Source organism: Homo sapiens, chromosome 15, assembly GCF_000001405.40.
Source record: "Homo sapiens chromosome 15, GRCh38.p14 Primary Assembly".
Classification (NCBI taxonomy): Eukaryota; Metazoa; Chordata; class Mammalia; order Primates; family Hominidae; genus Homo; species Homo sapiens.
The window spans coordinates 92,149,959-92,167,866 of NC_000015.10; the positions used below are offsets into that span (position 1 = coordinate 92,149,959).

The window sequence follows — 17,908 nt, forward strand, 5'->3', positions numbered from 1 at the left end:
TGTAACGTGCACGTTCTAAAGGGTGCTGACTGTGTTTCTGTCCAGAGGCACTGGACTCATCATGGATGTTGTACTGGTGTCTAACTCAACCAGCCAGAGTCACGTCCCCATCGCTCAATGAAAGTCATGACCTGCTGCCCTGGGATGACTTACCTGTACTGTCTGGGTCCCAAACTGAAGAACTAGGAGTCCAATGTTCGAGGGCAGAAGGGGTCCAGCAAGGGAGAAAGATGTAGGTTGGAAGGCTAGGCCCATCTGGTCTTTTCATGTTTTTCTGCCTGCTTTATATTCTAGCTGTGCTGGCAGCTAATTAGATGGTGCCCACCCAGATTGAGGCTGGGTCTGCCTTTCCCACCCCACTGACTCACTCAAATGTTAATCTCCTGTGGCAACACCCTCACAGACACACCCAGGATCAATACTTTGCATCCTTCAATCAAGTTGCCACTCAATATTAACCATCACAGTGCTGGAACATGCTAAGTGGATTATTTCCCAAATGGTCCATCCAGGGTGTCTAACCATGCTAATCTGGTGGATTTCACAAAATGACTGGAGAATGGTAAAGGTGCTCATGGTTTCAGCTTGTTTGTGAAGGATAAGGGGAATTATTTTCTCGGTTGATGTTTTCCCCCCCATACGTGTACCCCACCCACTTAAGATGCTTCCTGATCTCAGCAAAACCAACATGTCTTTAAACGCAGGTTTTATGACCAAATTTGCATTCTGTCCTTCGAATGACAAGGTTAGCTCCAGTTATTAAAAAACACTGTTAAATTCCTAAACTTATCTTGGCACCACAGTTGCAGTTATTTTTCAGACTTTAGGCAGAAAAAAAAAAAGACACTATTAGTAATTTTAAAAAAGACACTATTAGTAATTTTCTAAAGAAGAGCTCTGATGGACAGCAGCAAATGACTCTGGGGTCTGTTAATTACAGGGGAATGATAAAAATCTGGTTTTTTTTTTCTCTTCATCTCTTTGCACGTAGGACAGTCAGCCCTGAACTCAAGTCTTACGCTTTGGGAGTTCTTTTTCTCCTCCTTCGTTTGTTGGGTATGTATTATCTCTTTATTTCCTCAATAATGAATTGGATGCTTATTACTAGGTGAGTAACTGTCAGTCAAATTATCCCATTTCCTAGGTCTGTCTCTTTTTTCTTTGCAGTTTAATTATTAGTAAATAAGAAATTTTAAGTCTCAAAATTTTGGTCAGAGATAAACTCAGACACTGCCTCGATATCACGAAGTTCTCATTTATACCAACTCTTATCTTCACGCCACCGTGAATTCTCATCGGCATAAGGAGGAAAAGAGATGGCACCAAAGGGGAAAAAAATCTGGTGGTGTAATTTGGCATCTTCATTAAGCAAGCCATGAGCAGCTTGTGAAATGCTTCATTTATGGGGCCGCCAGCTGGGAGAGAGAGGCGTTCTCACAATGCCTTGAAAATGGAAACTTTGCATCCTTTAAATTTTTCCAAACTGACTTAGTTTGTTTACCTTGAATTTCTGGGATGGGGCAAATGTGACCTTCATGCTATAGGGCCCACGTTTCCAGATTTGGTATGGAAAGAAGGAAGAAAGTCTGACCCTCTTGTTTTTAAGATAGGCAAAAGGAAGATGAGATAGTCCATGGTTCACCACCCAAGGTCCTTCCTGGGCACTGGCTGGGCTGACGCTGGGCCTGGTTCCCAGCTATGCCTACCTTTCTCTTGCCATACCACACCGTTGCTTTATGAGCATTCTTTTGTTAAGGCCAAGATCAAGATAACTTTTTTCCTTGAATAATAGGACAGTCACCTTCCCCAGTGGACTTTAAGTGGCATCTGAATGTAGAAAGGAAAACAACCATGACCTGTATTTTTAGAGTAGAAATAAAATTCCTCATTCCACGTATATAATCGTGGATAAGCACAAATACCTAGCTATAGAAATGTTTGTAAAAGTGGAAAATTGGCAGCAACCCAAAAGCCCAACAGCAGACAATTAGTTAAATCAGTTATGGTCTATAATCGCAGTAGGATTTATGTTCCCCTTTAAAATTCTGGAAAGAAAAATATAGACTTAGAAAGGGCATGTGATGGGGGAAGGGGAAAAACAGGTCTGTAATGTAATAACTTTTGCAATATTTTTCCATTTTATCAGAAGAGTATCAGCTATTATCTTTGAGTAATAAGGTTATATTTTCTAAATTTGTTTTAAAGTTTTGAATGAAATGTCTGTTACTTTTATGAGATTAGTTTTTATATACCGATATATGAAAGAAAAATATTAACCTTTAGATCCATTAAGGTCCTCCCTGGGGAATGGCAAATACATAGCATATGTCTCTCCTCACCTTCCTTCTCCGTCTATAGCAAAAACTTTCTATCAATCTGTGATCATTCCCTCTGTGCCTGGTAGAAGACCTCAGAATGCTCTCAACCACTATCAATCCATGTTCCTTGGTATATACATGGGAACTCAAATGGCATTGTCCTAAGTCTAAGTCATGGAAAAGAGAAGTGCTCTAGGTGTGAAGATGCCCCAATTAAAACAAGTTCAGCGCTAATTCAAAGTAAAGCATTTGGGCCTTCCTGGGAAGCTGTAGTAGCATGCAGAAATACCAAGGCAGAGTTATGATCGTGCTGATTTTTTCCTATCAGTGGGAGGGTGCAGTCTGCATATATTTTACCCCTGCTCTCACTGCAGTGTGGGGTGGATCGATAGGTGGATGTGTAATATTAACTGGCACATTGACACCCTAATTTTTGCAAATGGTAAAGCCATTCCACATATGCATTTGTTCAAGAAGCTAATGTTTATTGAAAACCTATTGTGTTCTAAGCCATGAACCATCCCCAGGTAAGTGACCTCAGCTCTGCCATTACGAGTCCTCTGGGGCTGGCCAGGGAAGGTAAGAGCCCACCCTCCTCATCTGTGGAGTTGCTATGGAGATCTCTGCACCTCTAGACAGATACTAAGGACTCAATGCAACTGGCAGAACATTTTTTTGATAGCACAAGATGAAAAACAATTTGCAAGGTATTTCTGAAAAGTTAATGAAAATTGTAGGATAGTTGAAAGCAAAAGTGAACATTATGAGGCATATGATACTGTTAAAATCATCATACACTGCTGTAAAGCAGTTTCAATATCTGTATGTCTGCCCCAGGAATAATCAACCAGGTATTACCTAGAATAGTGTTTTTCAACTTCTGCAACTGTAATCTAGAGCAAGAGATGACAAGTTTTGCATTATGGCCCAGTACGCACATGCCTATGCCTAGATACAGCTGAAACAAACAAAAAAAAAAAATCATGAAAAAATACTCACTGTAATAGGTATGACACATTCTGACATTTTCTATTCTAGTCTATTACATGCTTTTAAAAAAGTTGGTTGTGACCCACCCTATTGATTTTATTGCCCCTTATGAGTCTCCAATTAGAGGCTGGAAAACCCTGCTCTAGAAGACTATGACACAGCTTCATCTTTCAGTTGAAAGCAGCTCATTGAAGAAGTCTTAGCATTTGGCCTAATTCCCTTTCTTGCAGGACCCAGTAAGATTAACCACCATTATTGTTAATGTGAAGGCCGGCAAAGACATCAGATCCTGTGACATCATCAACTTTTTTGCTGGCCTAGCAAGGGCAATGGGGATACAATGGGGACATCACAGGTTAGTGTGACAAGATTCGAGTTGGCACAGGTGCAACAGGAATATGTAGAAGGGCCTCCTAATCTTGCCTTGGGATGGGAGCAGTGGGTTTGGAAAGGATGTGATGTCTATGCTCAGCCCTGGGGAAGGAGTAAGAGTCATACAGATGAGCAGGGAGAAGGACTTACGGGGTAAAAGCCCGGGGATGAACAAAGGTCCCAGCATGTTTGGGGGCTGCAGAAGGCCCAGACTGGGGGGAAAGGGGGGACAGAAGAAGATGGAGCTGGAGAGGGTAGTGGATCAGGAACTTGGTCAGGAAGGGCTTCTGCCCTGTTGCTGCATTTGACCTTTATCTTGGGAGGGTGAGGCAGAAGAATCCCTTGAACCTGGGAAGCAAATGAAAGTTGTTGATGGGCTTTAACCAGAGAGTGACAAGATCCACTGTGTATTTTAGAAAGGGCTTGTCTGCCATGTGGAGAATAAGAACATGGCTGAAGAAGTTGCTGCTGTAATGAAGTGAATGACAGAGGCTCGTGCCGAGATGGTGCTCGCAGGATGGGGAGAGGGGTAGGGTTGAGAAATAAAAGGAGGAATCTGCATTATGCATTATTCTCCAAGTGGAAGCATAAGAACTGGAGTCTTAGAAAGGGGCACCCACAGTGCCCACTCCTAAGAAAGTCTTGGGTAATGTGGTGAACAGGGGAATTATTTATGAGACAGGAAGAAAGGATGTAGAGCAAGTTGGGAGTGGTGTAGACCAGCGCTCTCCAGTGGAACGTTCTGTGATGATGGAAATGTTCTCTGTCTGTACCACAGGTGCTGTTGCACACTTGAAATGTGGCTTCTGTAGCCTACTTTAATTTTATTAGTTTTCACATAAGTAGGTGGATGTGGCCAGTGTCTGCCATACTGGACAATGAGGGGGCCATCTTTGATGCACCACCCTCATGGGTCAGAGTGAGGAAATGGGATAGGGGAACAGGAAGACCCTCTTTCCAGACACTTGGGTGTAAGTGAAGAGGGCAGGAGCTAGAAATGAATGTGAGATCGGTCTCCCTTGTTGCTTTACCCACCAAGAGCAAGGAGTTGGTAGAAAGGGCCAGGGCAGGGCTGCAGAGGTGTACTGGTCAGTGGGGCTCTGGGAGTGGCCCCAGCACCCTGGAGTAGAAGCAGGAGTGTGGCAGGAGAGTGGAGCCAAAGAAGCTGAGGGTGATGATCAAAGTAGGGCTGAGATGGGAGAAAGGAGAGAGGACAAAGATACAGGAACTGTAAAAACTAGTTGTAATAAATAATGGAAAAAGAACTGGAGGATGTGGCCAAAGCCTCATTGTCTGACTTCGAGATTATGGAAGTGGAGCAGTTCTGACCAATGACAAAGCCCAGGGTGTTGCTGGCCAGAGAGGGACAGGGGTCAAGAGCGTGGATGTTGAGAGTGAGTTAATGAAAGGCTCACATGGACAAGTTTATGTTGTTGAGTAGGGGAGGAAGACACTGAGCTGGAGAAGGGTCAGTGAATTCAGAGTAAACTGAACGATCTACTCATAGCAGAATTCCTGGTATAATTGAGTCCATCCTCCTTTATTCTTCTGCAGGTGTCTTGGCTACTCCTTTTCTCTCCAGGCTGTGGGCAAACTCTCTGCTCCTGAGTTGGTCTAGAATCTTGTTCCTGGGGCCACTGCTTGCCAGGGCGTTACACCAAATTAAATTATTGGAAACATACATGTGCTGAGACTCTTCCACATCCAAGGTGCTGTCTAGGGGCTGCTCAGGGTGCACAGATAAGTAGGTGCCAATATCCTGCCTCTGGCGGCTGCAGTAGGAGAACAAAGCAAGTGTGGGGAAGGTGTGGGGTTGGAAGAGTTACAGAGGGCCTTGATTTTCAAAGGGAGAAATTATACTTGGCTGAGTAGTTGCCAGTGTGGAGCAAATGGGGGTTTCAGATGGGAGAGTGAATGTACATTCAGAATTCTGCTTTAGGTAGAGCAGCAGGTGAGCAGGGCATGAGGTTTAGCAGGATGCAGGATAACCCATCAAAAGCATTGAAGTGAGAAGCTGACCACCAGCAAAGCAGTGGGTTTGAACGGTAAAGACAGATGGGAGCCACATAAGAGACAGCATCTATTGAGATCCCCCCAACCCAACCGACCTAAGTGAAAGCAAAAGAGAAGCAATGAAAGCTCAAGATGAGGCTGAGGTTTGGAGCCCCTGGGACTGAGGCTATGGAGAAGCCTTTAATAGAATAAGAAACAATAGATCAAGTGTCTCAGGGTGTCATTAGGGATGAGCTTAGCTTCCACAATACCACTACAAACTCCCCACATACACTGACCCTGCCTCTTAATTTTCCAGCCTGCCCGCCTAGCCAAAAGCATAGGGAAGGCCCTCGGGGTGCATTTCTGTAGGCAGGGGTCATTCCTGAGCAGATTGTCCTTGGTCTGGGGTGATTTGTGAACTACTCTGGAAAAGTACATCCTAGACACTCCTGCTGTGGCTTGTCAGACATTTGTTGAGTTCCTGCTGTGAGCATCGTCTTGCATATGCCAAAGTTTATAGGCAAGTGGAAAAATGAACGTGTTAAGTGCTGCTTTGGAAGAAGCAAGCACAGCATGCCCAGGGGCCCCAGGTGAGAGATGAGAGGGAGTGAGATACGGCGGTGGGATGCATGGAAGACCCCTTCCACTTGCCTACACTTTTAATTGTTCATTCGGCGAACATATGTTAGGCGCCAGCCATGTGCCCTGGCTCTGTCAGCAGTGGACCTCACCTCCTGATGTACCTGCACCACCCATGATCTGCCACCCTTACCTGTACTGAGATGACATCCAGTATTTACCATGGGCCCTCTAAAGTCAGTCACACCTGCTCTTGAGCCTAGCTCTGCCTTTCCTGACCATGTGGCAGATTATTTAAGCTCTCTGGGCCTTACCAACTTTAACAAGGGGTCCAGGAATGAAAGGAGAACATAGTAGCTCCTGCAGACTCTCCAGTTTAAGAAAAGTAAATGTCAGGTATCACTGGAAAACAGCCCAGATTCTTTCTTGGCATTGCTGAAGCAGAGAACTCATTAAACCTTCCAGGAGAATACACTTTTCAGCATCTCCCTTTCTAGCTGGTGCTGGACATAACAGTAATTCCACCAGGTTGAATAGAGATTCCATGGTGAATTCAAGTCTTGGCAGGTAAGCCAGAGAGAAACAGATATCTTTTTAAATGTAAGTGGCCGTAATTTTCAGCTTCCATTTTGTCCCGTAAAGGAATTTGAACTTATTTTTCTTACAAAAGCCTTTCAGTTCACCTTTTAAGTTTAGACCAAGGAATATAAATAGGCCCAGCCATTTCAACTAAGAGAGTAAATTAAATAGCCAATATATAAGGCCCTGAGGTTTAATCTCTGTTAATAGATTTCAGGAAAACAGAGACAGTGTTCTTAAACTGTGCAGCAAGTTATGCATTGAAATATATATAGCTGCAATTTAAGCCAGAGTGTAATAGTAAGATTCAGTCCTTTTAATATTCCCTCTAATAGCGGGCAACAGCATTGAGCCTGCACATACCTTCCTCAGCACAGGGTGGGTTCCCAGTGCCCCAGTGATGGAACCCTATTAACACCTGCTTCATCCACAAGTTCCTGCCCAGAGGACCTAGGGAGAAGACAAGATAAAAAAAAGAGAGAGAACTGCTCTTGCAGGCTTTGGGGAAGACAGCATTTCTTCAAAAGACACAGTTACTAAAGAAATACACCACCATCATCAAGCTCCCTTGTAACTAAGGACTTAACAGAGTGAAGGTGCTCAAAACCAGAGAGGACACTAAAGTACACCTGGCCCCCCCCCTTGTCCTCCCTTCTGGACACACCTGATTATCCTCTAAAACTTATGATGATGTGGAGAAATTTTTTTTTTTTTTTTTGAGACCAGTCTCAGTCTGTCACGCAGGATGGAGTGCAATAGTGTGATCTTGGCTCACTGCAATCTCTGCCTCCCAGGTTCAAGCGATTCTCCTGCCTCAGCCTCCCGGGTACATGTACAGAATTCTTGCCAGTGGGGGTTATTATTCACTGAATCACAGCTTGAAAGGTTTTCTACAACTCTTTCTCTAGAGGTGGTGAACTTAGGACGGATTTTCATTTACCCAAAAGAGTTCCTGAACACGGAACAAAAGCCAAACAGCAGCAAGGGAACCAGATTTTTGGAGCGCCCACCCTGTGAGGGCTTTCTCAAATGGCATCCCATTGATTCTTTACAAAAGCTCTGCCTGAAGGTATGATCGTGCCCATTGTATAAACAGTGAAACTGAGATTCACTCAAGTTGTGTGAATCACACAGTTCCCAAGTGGCGGAATTAGAATCCAAGATCAGCTGTCTCTGGTTCACAAATTTGCATTTCCTCCCAGTCACCAAAACTCCAGATGTGAACTCCCTGTCTGAGTTCACATCAAAGCCTACCACGATGACAACTCCGTGTCTCTTCCTGCTGACAAGCATAGTATCTGCTATTACTGCCTCAGGTGTCCAGCGAAATACTGAGTTTGTTTACAAAATAAGTCTCCCAGCCTTCTCTATGTATTAGCAACCCCAGAGAAGGAAGGGCTGCCCGCTTTGCAAAGATCAAACCCCCTGTGTGTTTCACCCTCTGCACACTTCAAAACCAGGCTTCTTCAAGCCAGTTACGCCAGGAGCTTAGCAAAAGGGTAAATAAAATGTTCTCTGTATCCCTGGAAATCCCCAATAAGAGCTCTAAAGTCTTCTCAAATCAACAAAGTCTGAATTAGAAGGAAGGAGATTATTGGGTTTGGAATTTTGAAATATCAAACCTGGAACAAATAATCTCACTCTCAGTTTATTTGTATGTGAAATAAGGTGGGGCAGGGGGAGTGGTTATGGAGGGGACGCATAATGGATGTGGAGCACTCTATACAGTCCTGGGTAGGGGGTAGTTAATGATACTACTTAGCATGACAGTTGCCAGTCACACTGTCACAGTCTCCCATTTGTCTATGGGGAACCAGCTCCTTGCAGGGACTGCCTGAGTTTTTGTTTGGTCCAACTGAGTGACGAACATATAAGGATGTGGGGCTGGGCGTGAAAATGAGTCACCAAGGTGGAACTCCCTTCTGTGACTCATCAGGTGAGTTCCAGAATGGCAGAGGCCTCTAACAAAAAAGATGCAGTCCGTTCGTCTCTGGTATTGTCCGCACACCTGCAGTTTAGGGCCTGATAGCTAGACCTCCCCTTTGGGAAAGAATTTTAAGTGAATAAAAAGGAAAAGATGAATTTGATGGAAAAGAAAGCCAATATTTTCACTATTCAGAAGTATAAAAGGAATCTCACAAAGGTTATACTTAAGGTACTCAACCTAGAGTTTATTCTAAAATACCACCCCAAATCCCCTATCTAACATGAATAAGGTGGCAAAAGTTCTGGTTGCATGGCAAGATCAGACCCTTGGCGAAACACTCACACACACACCTCATTTGTGTAGTGTTTACCTTAGCCCTTACCAGGCAGGGTGGTATTAACTCCATTTTAAAGATGAAGAAACAGACATTGAAAGATCAAGTGACTTTCTCCAGGACTTTTGGCACCTTAAAAGTTCTTTCATCTCAGCTGGGTGCGGTGGCTCACGCCTGTAATCCCAGCACTTTGGGAGGCTGAGGCAGGCAGATCACAAGGTCAAGAGATCGAGACCATCCTGGCCAACATAGTGAAACCCCGTCTCTACTAAAAATACAAAAATTAGCCGGGCGTGGTGGCAGGCACCTGTAGTCCCAGCTACTTGGGAGACTGAGGCAGGAAAATCACTTGAGCCCAGGAGGCGGAGGTTGTAGTGAGCCGAGATCATGCCACTGCACTCCAGCCTGGCCACAGAACGAAACTCTGTCTCAAAAAAAAAAAAAATTTATTTCATCTCTACCACAAATGCACTCTGAAATATTGAACAGAGCATAGCATGAAAAACTTTGGTAGGTTTTTTTTTTTTTTTTGGAGATAGGATCCCATTCTGTCTCCTAGCCTGGAATGCAGTGGCGTGATCATGGCTCACTGCAGCCTGGAACTCCTGGGGTCAAGTGATCCTCCCATCGGCCTCCTGAGTACTTAGCTTTCAAATTGTTGTTTAGAGGTTTTGTCATCTGGTAGTGGAGCTTGACAATAGGCAAGATATAATTGGCATATTTATCACATAGCAGTATGCCCTACTTAGAAGACAACCAAGTATTATAAGAATTCTCACTCAGGTACATGAATGAGTTGCACAGTGGTATTTTGGGGGGATATTTTGGTTTTAACAATTATTAACGAATTTGGTTCCTTTATGTTGCAAATTTCCTTTGATGTGCTTAAAATATGACCTGGTTTGCACCGACCTGGAATTTGTATGCAAGTATCCATGCATTATAGAGCAAGGGACACCTGTACCCTCAGTTCCTTCCAGCAGCAAAGCATTTACTAGAGGTGTCCTCTCTAACCTTGGCTCCCCGTCACCAGGTGTTGGGTGGCTAGAACAAAGTGAAATGACCTCAAGAAAGGTCACAAGGAGGGAGGAGCATTTGGGAGCTAATCACAATATAATGATTATGCCCCGTGCAGAGATAGAAAGGTGAATGGATTTGCTTTGCCCTGCTGTGCCACAGAAACAGGCCACATTAGTTCCATTTATCTCTAGGTCCATCTGTAATACACACTGGCTCCAGATCTTCATTTTTTACATAAATAACGTGGTGTGTGGCTTAGTTTCTATTATGCGGTTGCCATGGCAGTTCCTCCAGTTGGCTCTTTCAACTGGAGTGAAATGAAAAAAGGCACTTGTTAGGGGGCAGGGAAAACACACAGGGTTGGTGGGGAAGGGCTGAGACACCTGGGCAGCCTTTGGGATCACAGGGAATGCTACGAATATGCGCTTCCATTCGGCAGGACCACAGCCCAACCTGGCAGCTGGAAAGAAGGAAACAGGTTGTGTGGGATTTTGAGCTTGGAGCTTATTTATTAAATCGAGCTGCTTGGGAAGTTTAATGAGATTTCAACCAGAAATCTTCTCCGGGGCTTCTCTTTGGGGTATCAAGCAGCGGAGGTGAAGAGTTCCAAGGAGAAGTACAGAGGCACCTGGGCCGAGAGCCTGGAGCTCTGCCAAGCTCATTAGCACTCATAGGGTAGCAAAGCCCCGCTCTCACCCGATTCCAGGCATGTCATTAAAACCGGGGGAAGGGCTGCTTCCTTCATTAAGCCTTCCCTCTCTCCCCAACTGCCTTTGGAGGCCCCACAGAATGGAGGTGCTGCTGTGCTTATAATGCACATGCTGTTATTCCAGCAATCATGGATGGACTTCAGGGGCCTATGAACCCCCTGAGATACAGGTTTGATTTTATGGGTAGGTGCATTTTGCTGGGCTATGGGTCTAGATCTCATCAAAATCTCAGAGGGACCTTCCTTAATACAAAATGAAATTCAGATGCTCTAGGACTAGCTCTGCAAGGAACACTCCAGACAGAGGTATAGAGGCCCTGGGATCTCAGAGTTGGCCACACCTAGTTCCAGAGATCACTTCCTCCTCCTGCAGTCTGTCACTGAAGATGGTTGGCACTTTATTCTGGCCTCAAGGGGACAGTTTTTTTGAACAGTTAATTTGCATTAGTGACTCATCTGTCACTTTCCCATAGTACAGATGACACTCTCCCCCTTCACTCAGAATCACCTGGGAATGTGAAGGTGCTGAGGACTGTGCTGCACACCAAATGCTCTGATTTCAGTGGTCTGGGATGGGACACCCTGGATGATGATTGTCATGGGCAGCCAGGTCTGATAACTCGGATAACAGCAGGCAAAGAAACACAGAGAGGAACAGGGAACGGAAGTAAGGAAGGGGAACGGTTTTCATCTCATCTGCCATTTTTGGTGACTGGTTGTAGGTACCGGAAATGCTCTACCGTGAGGGTTTCAAAACTGGTTACCAACTCATTCTGAGCTGGGAATATTAAATATCCAGGGGAAGCGAAGTTGTCAGTATATATGCAGATATTTTCCATTTAAACTATATGTGTATACACACAGATGTACTCAAGTCCAATTTGTGGTGCCTGCACTCAAGAGCACAACAGCCCTAAAAGCCTCAAACAGAAGAACACCACACACAGTATGCCGGCGCTTTGCAGTTTCCTCTGTAGAACACCACACACAGTATGCCGGCGCTTTGCAGTTTCCTCTGTAGAACACCACACACAGTATGCCGGCGCTTTGCAGTTTCCTCTGTGGAACACCACACACAGTATGCCGGCGCTTTGCAGTTTCCTCTGTGGAACACCACACACAGTATGCCGGCGCTTTGCAGTTTCCTCTATGGAACACCACACACAGTATGCCGGCGCTGTGCAGTTTCCTCTATGAGACTACGCTGCTTTCACTGACACTAACTAAGAATGTTTCTCTTCAAGGAAGACCGTCTTGGCCTTCTCAGGCTCTCAGCAGAGGATGATGATGATAATAGCAGCTGTCATTCACTTTACATGGTAAAGTGACACAGTACACACTGTTCTAGATGCTTTTTTTTTTTTTTTTTTTTTTTTTGAGATGGAGTCTTGCTTTGTTGCCCAGGCTGAAGTGCAGTGGCACGATCTTGGCTCACTGCTACCTCTGCCTCCTGGGTTCAAGCAATTCTTCTGCCTCAGTCTCCCAAGTAGCTGGGACTGCAGATGTGCACCAACATGTACCACAGTGCAAATTCCAGGTTGTCTCTTTAGTAGAGACGGGGTTTCACCATGTTGGCCAGGCTGGTCTCAAACTCCTGATCTCAGGTGATCCACCTGCTTCAGCCTCCCAAAGTGCTGGAATTACAGGTGTGAGCCACCATGCCAGACTGATGCTTTCTATGTGTAAAGTTAGTCTTCACAGCCATCTGGTGAAGACTGTAGTATTATCATCATCCCCATTTTGCAGATGAGGAAACTAAGGCAGGAGGGCTTAAATAACTTGCTCAGATTTGTACCATAATAAAAAGGCAGAACTGGGACACAAACTCATGCGCTTTGCCTCCTGAGCATGTCTTTGAGCCACGGAGTCAGACATATTTGCCTAGCAGTGCTATAAGAAAAGCTAGGCAGAGACAGGAACAGGGGAGCACTGGCCACCAGATCCAGAACCTTAACATTCTTTTCCCGGTAACAGGCTTCATCCCTCCACCCCTCATCTTCGGGGCTGGCATCGACTCCACCTGCCTGTTCTGGAGCACGTTCTGTGGGGAGCAAGGCGCCTGCGTCCTCTACGACAATGTGGTCTACCGATACCTGTATGTCAGCATCGCCATCGCGCTCAAATCCTTCGCCTTCATCCTGTACACCACCACGTGGCAGTGCCTGAGGAAAAACTATAAACGCTACATCAAAAACCACGAGGGCGGGCTGAGCACCAGTGAGTTCTTTGCCTCTACTCTGACCCTAGACAACCTGGGGAGGGACCCTGTGCCCGCAAACCAGACACATAGGACAAAGTTTATCTATAACCTGGAAGACCATGAGTGGTGTGAAAACATGGAGTCCGTTTTATAGTGACTAAAGGAGGGCTGAACTCTGTATTAGTAATCCAAGGGTCATTTTTTTCTTAAAAAAAGAAAAAAAGGTTCCAAAAAAAACCAAAACTCAGTACACACACACAGGCACAGATGCACACACACGCAGACAGACACACCGACTTTGTCCTTTTTCTCAGCATCAGAGCCAGACAGGATTCAGAATAAGGAGAGAATGACATCGTGCGGCAGGGTCCTGGAGGCCACTTGCGCGGCTGGGCCACAGAGTCTACTTTGAAGGCACCTCATGGTTTTCAGGATGCTGACAGCTGCAAGCAACAGGCACTGCCAAATTCAGGGAACAGTGGTGGCCAGCTTGGAGGATGGACATTTCTGGATACACATACACATACAAAACAGAAAACATTTTTTAAAAGAAGTTTCCTAAAATAAAAAAAATTAAAAAAAAAAAACCCACAAGTTGAAAACATTGCCAGATTAAGCACTAGTGACACACCCCGTGCCACCCTCTTCCTCCAGGTGGGGGTGGGGGCGGGCGCACAAGTCGGAGGGGTGGAAGCACCACTCCTCTCTCTGACTTTCGCAATATGGGTCACTGTGTAGACGACTCACCCAGTCTGCATGTGGTTCAAGGCCCCAGAGTTCTCTCAGTGATGCTAATGGGTGATCCGTGCTGGAGTTTGTAATTGGCACCTCTCACCAGCTCCATTTCCATGTTCAAGACTGAGGGCCTGAGGGGGAGCCAGGTGGGGGGCCAGCACCTCCCAGTGGCGGGCATCCACCTTCCCCCAGCCCCACAGAGTGACCTCAGGAAGCAGTAGGCCTCGCCTGGCTATGACTGACCCGGCTCAGAGCTGGTGAGACCCAACGCAGTCCAAGTCATTTGCTTACATTTGCCAAAAACATTTTGCCATTTTTAAAAGAAAAAAATACAATCCATATGAATTTCAAACTGTTGTATGTATAATCCTCTAATACTATTTTTAACTACTTCTAAAATCTGTGTTAACCCTTCAAGTCACTAACACAGTTCTCTAGGCCGGATTTATTATGCTGGTTGCTTTTACTTTTTTTCTCCTTTTTTAATGCACCAAAAATATGTGATACAAGGGATGCAATTAACCTATTGTAATTTTCATCATTTTATCCTCATTCGAATATTCTACAAAAACAAGAATATACAATGTGTTACAAGAAGAAAAAAAAATGCTTCAAAAAGAGAGTGTATATGCAGCCTGCCTTTAAAAGAATCACATTTGAGACAACAGGGGATAATGTGATGAATTGCAAATTTGCCTTTTAGCTTCCTTCCCCATGATTCAGTGATCACTGTCACGGGAAACCCTTTTATATTCATGCTTGACATTCCAAGAGGCGTTCTTTTCAGCCTGTGGAGGAGACACTCTTAGATGTGGGTTTGTGTGTATGGGTGCAACACTTCCGGGGATAGGAAAGAAGAACAGTTCCCTAACACAAGCTGTTAAGAAGTCTGTAGCATCTCTGATAACGAATAGACCCACAAGCTCCTGGAAGCTGTCGTGTGTCCAATGCGTGAAAATGTCTGTGACATTTTCAGTGTTAGTCTTGAACTAAGGCCCTTGTCTGTGTGTTTTGAAGGTGGGTGAACCTCAGAGAATGAACCTGTTATGATTTGGGGTAAGAATCACGTTGGAAAACCTCTCGCAACCAGCACACTAGGCCTTCTACGGCCATTTCTGTAAGGGGACAGAGCTTAGGTAAAGGCACACACTCATACACACACAACAAAGGGCCCTGCTAACTTACTCCTCATGCTGCTTCAGTGACCTTTGTTCATGTCACATTCCTGGCGCTGGAAAAAAAACTCAAAGGTTGATTGGTTTGCTTTTTCACCTTGGACACATTTGCATTTTACCCACAAGGCAAACAAAAGAATCAGGAAGTAAAAAATGGTTGGGAGTGGGACAGGTATGGTACCGAATTTTTAATGAACATTGTAAATGAAGAGGCTTGAATGACAGCCCAAATCTAGAGAAGGCACTCAGCAAGACCAACCAAAAGAAAAGCTGTGTCGTGGTATGGGGCCACCGTGATCAGCTACCTGGGGCAGGATGCTTCTGAGACAGGCCTTTCAACTGCTTAGTGTTAGTATGTCCTTGCTTATGAAAATGGGGACACTCATCAGTACGTTAACTACTAAAGGGGAGATGGTTCTCCAACCACTTCATAAAATATGTATGTTCTGTTGTTCCTAAGGCTTTGATAATATCCTGTACAGATTTTGGTTTAGTTTTGCAAATATATTGCTAATAGGTCACTCTTATAGATTATTGCTTGGCCCTTCAAACTCAGTACACACACACTGAGGCCCTTTGACCTAGTGTTTTATGGAACTATTTGCTTTGAGAGAAAAAAAAAAGAAAGTTTTTTAAACTCTTTGCATTTTGGATTTTTTTTCCTAAGATTTTAGGATGAATGTGAAAAAGATGTTAGAATAACAGGAAGACAACTCCAGGGCTGAGTTTTATCAGCAATTGGGTATAAATTTAAAGACCGCTGTTGCAGGATGGCTCTGAATTCTGTTGTGTCGTCTTTTAAAATTTTAATTATTCTCATATAGTACCGAACAGAAAACTCAGTCTAGTTTTAATTTGCCTTTTGTGCTCTAAAGAAGCATTGTACATACAACACTAGATCCAGCCCCTCGATTATCTGTTTGGTTTCAAGTGAATGAAAAGATTTCCTGGTAAGATCATTGGATTTACAGAATACAAAAATGTACGGGATGGAATAAACCTAGAAAGTGAATGCTAGAGTTCTCTCTCTTCTGCTACAAACTCCTACACCATCTCAGCTGAACATGCCCAGGGTGGATGAAAAGTCTCTCTCTGCTGAAATTGACAGATCTTTGTAACTCCTACGTAGAGACAAAGAAGGTTTGGGTTTTGTTTTGTTTTTTGTTTTGTTTTGTTTTGTTTTTCTACCAATATCATTCCCTCCTATGAAGTAAGCACATTTTGCAAAAATGCCTCTCTAGGGGACAGGGTTTGCTGTCTTCTCTCAGCTGAGGCTGTGTGCTCTCAGGGAACGCTGGCTCTGAGGCACCCTGGGGGACAGGGCTCCAGAAGGCCACAGCATGGCATGCGGGCTTTCCTCACAGCTAGCGAAGGAGTGGAAGCAGCCTCCTCTCACGGTCCCCCCGAGGAGCTTGCTAGGAACACTTAACAGGCAAAATAATAACTGGAAAGCCAGGAGCTCCTAAGGAATCATTTGACAGGGTTGCTAACGTCTTCCTAGCAGGAGGGAGCGTGCCCCTCCATAAAAATCACTTCCTTCTCACCATCTGATCATGGAATAACTCGCTCTAGTGCTGACTTTTAAAGATTGGTTGAGTGTCATCTGTACATTCCAGTCCCCCGATTCCACTGCCCTGTGTCCAGTAATTGCCCTCCAGCTTCCCCTCACTCACACTATGGCAGGGCTTCCCAGCCCTTACAGTCAAAAAGCCTGCAGAAACGTTCCACACAAGGGCAACCAGCTGGTCCCTGGGATGGTAGTCACACCACTCTTGAGGAATTTTCCCAGGAAAAAGATTCTCCTGTGGTTGCTAATGGATATTCTTTCACACCTTCCAGAGGAGGTCATTCACTGAGGAACATTTAAAATGGAGATAGATACATGTACTAAAATAGAAAAACCTCCAAGGAAAAGTAGTTTCTGGGTCCCCGTGTGCCTGCTGGGCTGGTTTTCTTGCCGCCTGCTGCTTCCGGTCCTAGGAAGTCTGGTTTCTTCTCCACCCAGCCATGCCTGCCAGACCTGTGCAGTCTGCTCTAAGCCCTGCTAGGAACTCCAAAGGCCCTACTCAGCAGTGGCAAGCTATGAAGGTCAGTGCATAGAGGTCAATGCATCTGATCATACAGTCAAGACCAGAAAAACAGGATGAGCTTCTGTTGCAGTTGGACGGAGTTACGCTATATTTTATTGTTGCTTGAATATTTTATTTGATTTGGTTTAGATGAGGGAAGAAACCATGCAGTTTTTTCAGTCTAACAGATGGAGAATACTTCCCGCTGCCTGGTGCTATTCTTACCTGACTATCTTGATGGCTTGGGAGAACCACATATCTGGCCAGAAGCCAGAGGAAAGTACCAGACACATGGCAGGGGCCTGCTGGCTCCACTGGGCTCACGCCATTCTCCTCTGATTGACCTCCTCTCAACCATGATCCATGTTTCCTTTTAGGGACCGTTCCCCCTTAGGTTAGAATCCACTTCAAATATCTAAGAGGTGCCAACTTTTCCAAGAGAGGGTGCTAGTGAAATTAAATTTGGCCTGGAAAATTAGTTCAAGACCCAAATATAGTATTTATCCATTTTCTAACCTTCCTTCCTTTTTTATTACACCTGCTCCGCCCGACTTATTCCAAACTGCTACTCTCACAACAGCCGCAAGAACGTAATCCCTTACAGTAAACCACCCTAAGTGACAGACTTTGGACCCCACGCCCCTAGTGTACTGTCATTGCTCAAGAGTAAATTGGAATACTCTCTCACTGGTGGAAGATGCAAGGCAGATTTTTGTTCAAATGCCTCTTATGGGGCCTGTTGCCTAGAACAGCATGTGGAATCCACCCTGAATGCATGCAGCCACCCACGCCTGCCTCATCAGTAGCTTCAGCAACCCAGAATGCTTGGTCGTCATGGCAGGGACAACATGGGTTATCAAACCTAAAATGGAAAATTTTGGAAAGCAAAGATGGCCCTGTCCCTTA

General features: G+C 44.9%; 1 protein-coding gene across 3 annotated transcripts in view, besides 1 other annotated feature; it reads left to right on the forward strand.

Annotated features, from left to right (window-relative positions):
• The window catches only part of SLCO3A1 (solute carrier organic anion transporter family member 3A1), a 318,728-nt gene that overhangs the window by 296,251 nt on the left and 4,569 nt on the right, over window positions 1-17,908 (forward strand). The window contains exons 9-11 of one of the 3 annotated variants that reach the window (NR_135775.2): window positions 992-1,056; window positions 3,539-3,663; window positions 5,235-5,361. Coding sequence is in view for 2 of the 3 variants with exons in the window: in NM_013272.4 (NP_037404.2) it covers window positions 992-1,056; window positions 12,798-13,177 (445 nt within the window). In the remaining variant the exon portion in view is untranslated. Of the gene's footprint in view, window positions 1-991; window positions 1,057-3,538; window positions 3,664-5,234; window positions 5,362-12,797; window positions 15,946-17,908 lie in introns of those variants that run through there. The other 2 variants (NM_001145044.1, NM_013272.4) reach the window with 2 other exon arrangements.
• Window positions 14,681-15,438: an enhancer, noted in NCBI's record as "OCT4-NANOG-H3K27ac hESC enhancer chr15:92707869-92708626 (GRCh37/hg19 assembly coordinates)". NCBI's record gives its function as "activates a minimal SCP1, AML or CMV promoter by ChIP-STARR-seq in naive H9 embryonic stem cells {active_cell/tissue: H9 hESC(naive)}" and the evidence as "EXISTENCE:reporter gene assay evidence [ECO:0000049][PMID:30033119]".